Below are 12,514 nucleotides of genomic sequence, written 5' to 3'. Positions count from 1 at the left end.
ATTCATTATTTAAAAATTGATCAATGACATTCACTAAATTATCACAGGGACGAAAACATAAAATGATCATCTGTAGAGATGCAGAAAAATAATTTGACAAAATTCAGCACTGATTTATAAGAATTATCAGCAAAATAAGAACAGAAATGAAAATTGACCAACAACCAGAAATGACAGCAACAACAAAATACCAAGTCAGTAAAGATGGAGAGAAATAGGGAAGCAGTGAAGGTAGATGTCATTTCTGTTTTTAGTGGTGGAGTACAAGGTGTTCTTGTGCTTGAAGGTCATGTTCTTGTGATAAAACGCACTGCAGAGACAACACAGTTTAATTGGCTGAGGCAGGTGACTCCCTTTAAGCATCAGGGTGGAACAAACTACACGACAAAATGTAATTTTAAAGACCACTCTCATTCAAATGTAATAATATCAAAGCACCCTTAACTCATTAATGAGTGAAACAATGAGTGTCATGGTCTGAACTGTGTTCCCCTCCCCAAACCCGTATGTTCAAGCCCTAACCCCTAGTTATACACATAAGGTAAATGAAACCTCATTTGGACACAAAGTTTTTGCAGATGTAATCAAGCTAAAATTATGTCTGTAGGTGGGACTTAAAATAACATGGGTTGTCTTTATAAGAAGAGGGAACAGAAACAGATAGGATGTGGAGAGGACCATGTGAAGAGAGAAGCTGAGACTGAAAAGGATTTATGTATTAATATTGACAGAAGCCAAGGAACACCATCTGAAGTTCTGATGGCAACATCAGAAGCTAAGAGAAAGGCATGGAAAAGATTCTCACCTAGAGCATCCAGAGGAGAGGTTGGTCCTGCAGACACCTTGTTTTCTGACCTCTGACCTCCGCAACTGTGAGGGAAGAAATTTCTGTTGCTTAAAGACACACAGCTTGTGGTACTTCATTATAGCAGCCCAAGGTAACTAATATAGATGACAAAATTGGTTCCAAGGGTGTTTGAGGAACTGGACCTTTATAGGCATTATTTTCATAATACTGCATTAAGCTATGATAACTGGACTAGATTCAAAATTGGATAATGCCCTAAATGCAATAAAGCTATAATTTTGAGATAAAATTTTAATAGCTTTATGAGATATAATTAACATCTGGTATACTGCACATTTTTGAGGTGTGAAATTTTTAAACATTAACATACGTATATACTTGTAAAACCATCACACTAGAAAGAGATCTCAAGCCTCTTCTTTTGACTTTCAACACATTGTCAATCCAGTACTAATCTGGTTTTATTACCATATATTAGCTTTTATTTTCTACAATTATATATCAGTAGAATTATAGAGTATGAATTCTTTTTGTCTTTTTTCCTTAAGCATAATATTTTTGAGATTCAACAATTTCTTGCATGTTGAAGTAGCACCTTTTTTTATTGTTACGTATTATTTCATTTCATAGACATACCACTATAATTTATTTACTAAACTCTTGACCAGAGGTTCTCAAATGAGGGACATTTTACCTGCCGGGGACATTTCCAATGTTTGGGGACACTTTTGGTTATCAGAGGTTTGTGGAGGAGGGGATAGAGTGTCCACAGGCCAGGGTTCCACAAAGGATAGCTCCCCACAACAAAGAATTAAGCCACTTCAACAGCTAATAGTGCTGAACTTGAGAACGCCGCTCTTGGTGGACAGTTGCATGGTGTCTGTTTTTGACAATAATGAATAAAGGTACTTGTGCAAGCCTTTTTACAGACTTATGCTTTTCTCCCCCCTAGGATAAATGCCTAGGGGTAGAATTGGTACATGTAAGGTAGATTTAGTTATCCAAAGTAGCTGTACTGTGTTACACTCCCACCGTCGATGTATGCAAACTCTAGAGTCTGGTTTCTTGACATCTATGCCAAATATTGGTAACACAATTTTTAAAATAGTAGCTTTTCTAGTAGATGTGTATAATTATCTCATTTTATTTTTTATTACTAACGATATTAAGAAATTTTTCCTTTGCTTATTTGCTATTATATCATTTTTGTGTAGCATCTGTTAGTTTTTATAGCTCTCTTGTTTCTATGTTGTACATTATATTTATATATTCTTGCTCTTATTCATAATAAATAGTATATATAATTGTGTAATTAAAAATAAACATTAAAGTATAAATATATTTACACATTTCTGTAGTTTATCATTATATAATTATTGCTTTCTGAATAAAAAGAAATGTATCCACAGTTTGGATAAAAAGAAGTGCTTTCATGTAGTTTACTAAGACATTTTCTGTGCTTTATATTTGAAGCCTATGCTTTCACTTTTACACATTGTTCCATAATATATTTTGGACTCCTTTAATTTTGAACTCATTCACGCTTTTGTTGTGAGGAAGGACTTGAGGTTTGTTTTCTTCACATTTATCTCGTAGTTCTGCACACTTTGTTAAATAAAATTATCTTTCCCCTTTGAATAACTGCAGTATCTTTGATATTATATTATTCATATAAGCATGGATCTATTTGTGAACTCTATTCCATTCCATTACTCTAATTGTTTATCCATCTACTAATAACACATTCTCTCGATGACTATAGCTTTAAGTTATTGCATGGTGTTAGGAAGTGTGAGTATTCCAACTTTTTTTTCAGCTTTCTATCATTTGTTTTTGCTCTCTTGATGTACATTTTTAAATCAGTGTGTCAATTTATATAAAAATATCTTTTGTGATTATGGTGAGGATTTCTAGAATGATTAATTTGGAAAAACCAAAACCTTTTACACACTAAAATTCACTGAACTTTCAAGCCATGATTATTGTATTAGTTTGTTCCGGCATTGCTATAGAGAAATACAGAAGATTCGACAATTTATGAAGAAAAGAGGTTTAATTGCCCCACTGTTCTGCAGGCTATACAGGAAGGATGATGCTGGCATCTACTTAGCTTCTGGGAAGACTCAGGAAACGCACAATCATGGCAGAAAGCAAAGGGGGACAGGCACGTCACATGGCCAGAACAGCAAGAGAGTGAAAGGGGAAGCTGCTACACACTTTTAAATGACCAGATCTCATGAGAACTCACTCACTCACTATTATGAGAACAGTATCAAGAGGGATGATGCTGAACCACTCATGAGAAATCCACCCCATGATCCAATCACTTCCCATCAGGCCTCACCTCTAACATTGGAGATTACATCATACCAGATTTGGGCAGGGACACACATCAAAACCATCAATTATTGTATGTGACTCCATTTATTTAGAACTTTCCTACATCTCCCAACACTTTTGCTAGTTTCCTATTTAGAGAGATCTTGCATGTAATTTGTTAAAATCATATATACATATTTTATTTTTATTAGTATTTTACATGGATTTGATTTTTATCATTAATTGCTCATTGGAAATATATAGAAATAAGTTAATGGGTTGACTTATTTTTTCTATGATGTGGCTAAAATTACTAGTTTATTCCAGCAGCTGATTTTTACAGTCACTAGAAGTTTATGTGTAGGTAATGGAGTTGTTTAAAAATTTAGAAGTGTATTTTTCATTTCTTAACTGTGTATGTTTTACTTATTTATTTGATTTGTCTCACTGGTTAATTCCTCCCATACAGTAGAGAGAACAATAGTGAAAGAGGACACTTTGTCTTCTTCTGGATCTTAAATGAATAATTTATTAGTTCACACTTCAGTGTGATATTTCCGTAGATGCCTTCTATTTGCTTAAGGATGCTTCTTTGTATTCTATTGGGGCGAGATATTTTTATTATAATTCTATCTTGAAAATGCCAAATGTTTTTTCTGCCTCAGAGGAAGTTTATATATTTTTTTCATTTTACTCAGTTAATGTGGTGAGTTTGAAAATTCAAATACTTGAAAAATCACGTTCCCATCAAACACTGCTTCTTACTGTGCCTTTCTAAGAGGACTACCTTCAACTTGGGCATTTAGAGGATACTTCCCTTCCTATAGCTCAGGGTTTTTTTGTATTTTTTTTATGTTTAAATTTTAGTGATATTTCTTTTATGTGTTTTTAAAATATTTTATGGGCTACTGCATTGACCCATTTGTTTCAACTTTACAGCTCTAGTTAAATATAAAAATTAATAAAATGTCAACACTCAAGTATTACATATATCCCTTGATCTGGTGATTTAGGACTATGAGAAAAATGCTCAATTTCCCTCGATAGAAGGAAGTATGAACTTTTTTATTTATTTATTACTGTAGTCTCACAGCCTAAAAATCAGTAGGTCTCCACTGGTCAGCAAGCAAATGATCATGATTGTTTTTCTGAATTTTTGACAATTTCAGAATAGGCAAGAAAGCTAAGTTTTAAAAATAAAATGCCAACATCAAGAATTTAAAATCAAATTCGTCACAGTGAATCCCAACAGGAAATAGTTCTTCATTTTATGATTACTCAGAGATTTTGCTTGTTGTAGTGGTCTTCCTTCTGGCTCATAATTTTTTGCTACTCTGCAGCAGAAATAATAAGAAATATTTTCCCAGTCCACAGCGGTGAAGGAGAAGAAAACTATAAATCAAAAGTAGCATATTCTGTGGATCATTTATTGAAATAAACACAGTGAGTACAAGATGGGTAATCTATTTGCATAATCAAAGACACCCTTCATCTGTGTCTATTTTTCTCTTTTCTTTTCTTTTCTTTTCTTTTTTTTTTTTTTTGAGACAGAGTCTCACTCTGTTACCCAGGTTGGAGTGCAGTGGCATGATCTTGTCTCACTGCAGACTCCGCCTCTCGGGTTCCAGCAATCTTCCTGCCACAGCTTCCTGAGTAGCTGGCATTACAAGGTATGGGCCACCATGCCCGGCTAATTTTTGTATTTTTATTAGAGATGGGGTTTCGCTATGTTGGCCAGACTGGTCTTGAACTCCTGGCCTCAAGTGATCTGCCCGCCTCAGCCTACCAAAGTGCTGGGTTACAGGCATGAGCGACTTGCCTGGCTATGTCTATTTTTAACATAGTTATAGTGAACTATAATTATTTTTACACAAAAACTATTCTTACAAATGTTATATGTATTTTAAGAGCATACAAACTTACAGGTTTTTTTATTTAATAAAAACCAGTGGCAGATTGATAATGCAGAATATATTATTTGTAAAAAATCATTTGTTGTCATACAAACATATATTTTATTTGAAAATTATACTTTTGAATAGCTTTTTGGAAAGTTAAAGTATTCTCATTTATTGCATACGTTTGTCACCAAAATTATACGAAAGAGTGTTTGATTCAAAATGTGTGTGTGTGTGTGTGTGTGTTCCTATATAGGACCCAGATAACACATATATATTAAATAAATAAATACATGTATATATATATATCATGCACACACATTTAAATATAATGTAAATGTGTGTGTGTGTGTGTGTGTGTGTGTGTATGTGTATGTGTATGTGTATGCAGATGCCCCTCTGGAAACAAATTTAAAAAGAATCCCCTCTTTTGAGTGTATAAAGAAGTTCCTTTCTTAAGGAATGGATAACAGGGGTTGGTACTTTGGCTGAATTCCTCTTCCTCTTACTTTCATTAGACTTGGCACTGTTGCATAGAACACAATTTTCCAAAATGTAATGTCTGTGTTATGCCTACAAATGTACCATACATAACAATTTGTCATTTTCTGTAATTACATACTGACCTATTTAACATTTATCTAACCACTTATATATCTTAATCAAAATAAATCAACCCATGTAAATTGTTTATTTCTATTGTCTTTCTCAGTATAATGCACAAGATACCTTTCTATCTCTATATGTATTTGTCATTTTCATGTCTGTCCCTACATGAGTTGACTCTATTTTTCTGTTACATAGATATGTGATGTTAGTACAATATATGTTAACTAAAAATGGATGATGCAACCTTTTAAAATTATGACCATCGCAGTGAAAATTATGTCTCTAAAACCCAATGACCACAGGGACATTCCAGTTTTTAGAAAAATATCAGGGGCTTAGGTATTTTCAGATTAAATTAGGAAAAATAGAGTATCTTTCCATTTATTTATGTGGGCAAATTTCCCATTTGTTCACATTAAATCTTTTAATGGCATATTGCCTAAATCTTTCTCAGAAAAGCTTAGCCAAATTGCCTAGGATGTTTCCTTTCTCCCATATTACCATCACTGTTTACCATCATATTTCTAATAATTTTAATTTTGGAACATGAAAATGGTATTTCAATTTAAATGCGTATGTTTTTCTATTTGCAAAGAGATTAAACATCTCTTCAAGTTTTTAAACTATATGCAGCCCTTCTTTTCTGCCATACCTGTTCATTTCCTCAAGCTATTTTTCCATCAGACAGTTTCATGTTTTCTCATTGATTTGAAGCTTCTATTAAAGTATTGTATACACATGGGTAAATGCACATAAGTTTAAAGCTTAGTGAGTTTTAAAATACTATGATCATCCAGAATAAGAAAATGTAATAGTCACACACCTGATTTCCACCCATCCCTCCTAACATAACACTATTCTAACTTTTACCAGTAAGGAATCAAATAGTGTGTGTAGTGTTTTGAACCACATTTTTTTGCTTAATATTATATTTGTGAGACGAATTGACTATATGACCTGCAAATGAAACTATTTATATTTATTTCTCTAATATTTTATTAGGTGATCATATTACAACTTATTTGTTTACTGTACTCTTTATAAGTATTTTAGTCCACTTTTGGGCCACAGTTTGGGGTTATTTTGGTGTTATTCTGAAAAGTGTTTTCATGAGTACACATTTTTTTTTAGCTATATATATGCATGCATTTCTGGAGAAACCATCTTTACAAGTAGAATTTTGGGGCCTAATACATATCTTTATCCAAATTATTTGAACTAAGTTATGCCAATAACATCAATTTGAGTGTTCTAATTAGTCAACATTCTCATCAATACTTTGCACTTTCTCTTCAACTTAGAATTCTAAAATATTCCTTTCAAATTCAGGATTCTGAATGACAAGTACTTACATCTCATTGTGGTTTGAATTATTTTTTCAGGTAACCAATATAAATAAAAACCTTTTAATAAGTTCATTGGTTATTTGAATATTTTATTTTTGAAGTGTCTAAGATATTTTCTTTCTAATCCAGTCCAGTTATTTTTCTGTGGTTTGCTTCTTGTTGTCTTATTGAGTTCATTGCCTTTTTAATATTCTTTTCCGGTTAACATTTCCCCCTCATTGATCTGAAATGTTTTCATTATATACCACCTTTCCATATCTGTCAATGTCTTGATTTTCTATATGATCTTCATCTATCTGTAGTTATAACTCATTTTAATCATAGAAGCTTTAAGAATTGCTTAATATTTTGTATTGACTCCAAATTCCATTGATTTTATAGGATATTTCTAGCTATTCTTGCTTCTTTATTCCTCCAAGTAAATTTGTCTATTTTTCTAAATCTGGAAAAAGAAATTCTAGAAAATGTCGTTTTGTTATGACACAGAAGATATAAGTTTATTTAAAGAACTGGCACATTTATGATTTTAAGGCTTTTTCAAGAGCATGGAATTTCTTTCCCCGTGCTCAAGTCCAAATTTGTGCCATTCAGAAGTGTTTTCTAGTTTTTTTTATATATAGGTTTTAAACATTTCTGGTTAAGTTTATGCCCTCACATTTTATTTTAGTTTGGTTAATGACGTTTTACATGTGTGAGTTCCCTCAATTATTTGTTTTAAATGTTCTGATTCAATAGGAACACTCTCCTTAGTATCCTTAACAGAAATGATTCTTGTTTATAGAATTGCTAAATAAGTAAAGAAATTTTAAGTTAAATCATGGCAAGGAGTTATAATTATACTAAGCTTTTTTGTTCCTAGAGGTTTTGGCTCACTCGTATGGTAATCTATATGAAAATTTTTCTGTGATATCTAATATTAGAAAGATCCTCAGTGATAGAATAGTGTTTCTTCCTAGCTGATTCATACATCTTTCTCTGCCAACATTTTGTTTGTTGAAGTGTTCCCCAACATATGACTCATTGCTTACTAAATCCCTATTGAGCAGCCAAAGCCCTGGTGACTAATTATGTCATTAATTTGGGAAAGTCAGAGACAATAAGACTGTCAGTTGAAACTTTGTAGGAGGTAAAAAAGTCACTGCTGTCAGCTGCAAAGATCCTTAAAACGGTCTTCAGTAAAGTCAAATTTTGTGACAAGAATTATTGCATCAAAGTCGGGGAAATACCTCTTAGATCAAATAAGATACATTGAAAAGCCAAAAATTATTTTTATCTCACTTTGGGTTCTCATAAGGTCTACCCACTGTTACTTGGATATGAGACTTAACAAATGGAAAAGAAGACAGGGGTACTGTCACACTGTATTTTCCTACGGCCTAATGACCACAATGGTTGATGAACTGCAGTAAAGTTTCTATAATATTTTCCATCTATTCATTTGCTCAATCACCTTGTAATGGTTATGTTGGTTAATTCCAGTCTTTCATGGGTAAGCAACAAAATGAGACTTAATTTGAAATATCCAGTATTTTTCTATTCTTACAAATAATTTTCAGGATCAATGCACTGAGGATTAGGAATGGCAATGTGTATTACTACTTTGATACCAACTATATCCAATCTAATGTTGGAATTTGTTTGACAAAGTGTTATGTATTTGAAAACAGGCAGCACTGAATAAAAAGAATATGGGCAAAAGAAAAATGGAAGTGTTTTGAATGGAAGTCTAAAATATTTATTGATCAATGCTGAACTGAGTAAGCAGGAGATGCCTGTACATAAATGACATTATCCTGATCTAGTAACAGGGAGAAGCAGAATATCTGAAAGCTGTTTATTAATTTGATAATAATAAGATTAGAAACATGCAAATCAAGATTAATAGTATTCACTTCTAATTGGGTTTAGGTAGACTTTGACTATTTTGCTTCTGATGTTCTTATATTTTTAATTTTCTATAATGATCATATAACATATAATATTTTCATAATATTAAACATTTTAGAATTAAACTCCATTAGAGTGTATCTTTCCTAAAATAATATAAACATCCAATCTTGTCCTTAACAATTCTGTTCTCAAACATTAGCCTATTCCCTCAAGCCAGTGTTGCTTTCGACCCATATTGTCCATCATTTCAATTTATCTCAAAGTTTTTTATTGCAACAATTAAATGCTTTGAATGATACCCAAGGCATAGTTCTATTTCAACAAAATTTCAAAGTTAATAGTTACATCAAATTTTGTTGGTGCTCATTGAATTTGGTTATTAAAACCATAAGTAGTATGTTTTATGCTGACTGAGGGAGATAAAAGTAGTAATGTTTAATATTCAAACTGTGATGACTGAAAAAAAAATGAGGCCTGTAAAATCTTATTTAACGTCAAATTTTAATTAAACAGGCTTAGCAGACCAAAATTAAAATCTCAATTATTTTTAAATTATTAATGACAGACAACTAGATTGAGTGAACACTGGCATCTCTTTTCAAATAACTTAGTTTAGTGGATGAGTTAAACATAAACTAGTTATTATAATGCAGCGAAGTATGTGAAAAATTTAATTTGAACCCTACTTAGCTTAAAATCCTGACATTCTAGGATGCAAGTCCTGCAAACTTTCCATATGTAATCAACAATTTTCTAAACATGCATGCTGTATCTCTCCTGTGTGACTTTGCATACATCATTCCCACATTCTAGATCATCCCGACCCACCTTAAGTGACTGCTTTTGCATAATCTCCCTTAAAATTCTAACTCAAGCACTGCATCTTTTGAGTCCTTCCCTAACATCTTAACATCTTCCTTCTTTCATTCATCATTAACTATAGTTAGTTATTATAGCACCTGTTAGCACTGTAAAATTATGTGTGTTACACAAGTACAACATGCAGACTAAGGTCGTGTATTACCTAGCCTCATACCAGCGTCACCTAGAACAGCAAAAATGTATGCAGATTAATCACAATATATTTGGATGTACAAAATATATTGAGAGCAAAATATGATGGAAATTTAGGTGATGCTCTTTGAGCATTGCTTCCATTTTCCAATAATGTAACCAGGAATCACTGTTCATGTAATTAAAGAACAATAAGTCTATGTGAATCAAAATATACATATACATGCAAATGTTAAACCTCAGCAGGAAGAGGCCCATTCTCTTGCTTGCTGATATATATATATATATATATATATATATATACACACACACACACACACACACACATATATGTATGTTGTGTGTATATGTATATACACACAACAATCTATAGGCTTGCCTTTTAAAATAGTATAAGCAACAAATTTTAAGAGAAACAATAATGAGTGTGTAAAACATTAGATATGTGTATGTACCTTTGCTATTATTTGTGGAAATGGGGCTATAAAATAAGCTCCTTTATTTTCTTTTGTAAAACATTTCTTTAATATGAAGTAATGCAATACGTATTTATGTTCTAAGTGTTAATTTCCTTGGATATAAAATAATATCTTGTTCCTTTGATTCTCTTACATATAAGTGTATTTACTCAGATATTACTCCAAATACACCAGATATATTCAAAGTTGAAAAAATATATACTTTGGAATGTATTATCACCTTATTTCACATGAAGAAATCAAAATCTCTGGCATCCAAGTGCATTCCAGCCTGAAAAAAATTATGCAATTGTGAATTTAACAGAAAGCAAATTGCTCACATATGGAGTCAACGTGAAGCTATATCAATATTTATTAAAAGTTTATATATTACTTTTGATCCCCTGGAGAGAAATACAAAATTCAAATAATTATTCTATTTTTATATCCCAATTTGTAATTATGAAACTCTAGCATTTTAATTTTTCTCTTTCAAGTTTACCTGAAGCTTCACAAAATTCTGTGAGGAATCTATTATAACAGGTATTTTGCTTATTTCCACACAAACAGAAGGAAATGTGTATTTTCTATGCCCTGAAGAATTTACTCTTTTCTGTAAATGACATATGGTAGTTAATTCTTTTTGGTAATAAAATATTCCTGTTTTTAGGCCGAACAGCCTTTTCTTTAAATTCAGGGCAACATATCAAAGCTTTGCCGTAATAATACAGAGTAATCGACTAAAGTAATATAGAATTTAAATAACAAAGAGTTTAAACAATTTAATATGTCTTCTATTAATTTCAAACTGAAATTTTACAGAAATTATTTGGAATATGCTGCCAGAGTACACACACACACACACACACACACACACACAATCACACGCTCACATCACACACTCACACCCAGCTAAAGGAAATTACCACAGCTATAATGATTTCATTAAATATCTGAAATTAAAGTTTCTTTTGGATTTTCAGCTGAAGCTCATAGTAAATAAAAGTAATATGATCATTGTTGCATACTGTGAATCAACAGCACCCAGAAACCTTCGACTTTCTATATTTACACAGCTTAATTATCCGAACTGAAACCTGAGGCCATCTGTGTCAACATGATTTCACAATTCATTCCAGAAAATTATTTTTCAGGAAAGTAAGGCTGCAAACCAATAAATAACTTATTGTTTGCTTCAGGAAATTTCTGCAAATCAATTTATGTCAGTAAGCAACTCTCCTCTGGGCCAACAGATTGCTCACCTGGGCAGGTAGCAGCTTGTGTCAATTAACAGTTTACTTATGAAGACTTCTGTCATGGCCCTTAACTCACAGTGTCCCCCAATCCTAAACTCTATGTCCTGAACATTACCTATTCTTATCAGTCATTGGTCTTGAAAGGCCCCGGGCAACCATTTGAGCCCAGACTTCAATACTCTATCAATACCACCTTATCATCTACTTTTCTAACATGACCCCTCAAGGTGGTGACCCCACCTACAGTCGTCTTTTATTGAATTTAGCTTTCCCTAATCAACATGCTAGTCTATTGGATGCAGTGTCGGAGGCAAAAATCACAGAGGTTCTGAAAGCATCAGCCCATGGTTTTCTAAACATCATGGTTCAAGACCCTTAACACGAAACAGAAAGTTTCCCCGAGGCGCCGTAAACAACCCATTTGGGCGCTTCCCTGATAATTATAGTGAAATCTGGCATCTAATTTTTTTTGGTGGACTCTCAAATTTTATATTTATGTTTTGATTCCTAGAAATAAAAAATGTTTTTATAAGGAATTCTTTGATCGTTTATGTTTTATTCTTGATAGAAACCTACTACTTTATAACTTCGTTTATGTTTTACTCTTGATAGAAACCTACTACTTTATAACTTCGAACATTATTGATGTTCTTCCTGTATTTCTGAGAGGTGACAGCTTGCTGGCATCCCTCGCTGGCTCTCGGCACCTCCTCGGCCTCAGCCCACTCTGGCCGCGCTTGAGGAGCCCTTCAGCCCGCAGCTGCACCGTGGGAGCCCCTCTCTGTGCTGGCTGAGGCCTGAGCGGGCTCCCTCTGCTGGCGGGGAGGTGTGGAGGGAGAGGCGCGGGCCGGAACCTGGGCTGCCTGCGGGGCTCGCAGGTCCAGCGCGACTTCCGGGTGGGCGCGGGCTCGGCGCG

At 33.3% G+C, this 12,514-nt stretch overlaps 1 long non-coding RNA gene across 1 annotated transcript; it reads right to left on the bottom strand.

Annotated features, from left to right (window-relative positions):
* Positions 1 to 503: 503 nt before the first annotated feature.
* Positions 504 to 12,488, bottom strand: LOC105379020 (uncharacterized). Its single transcript, XR_948429.3, has 3 exons — positions 12,219 to 12,488; positions 10,584 to 10,634; positions 504 to 870 (listed from the first exon to the last, which is right to left on the bottom strand). It is a non-coding gene; the product is annotated as an uncharacterized LOC105379020 (long non-coding RNA).
* Between the last annotated feature and the right edge of the window lie 26 nt (positions 12,489 to 12,514).

Source organism: Homo sapiens, chromosome 5, assembly GCF_000001405.40.
Source record: "Homo sapiens chromosome 5, GRCh38.p14 Primary Assembly".
Taxonomy (NCBI): Eukaryota; Metazoa; Chordata; class Mammalia; order Primates; family Hominidae; genus Homo; species Homo sapiens.
Note: the sequence above shows the minus strand (reverse complement) of the source record. Positions and strands in the feature narration are given on the sequence as shown.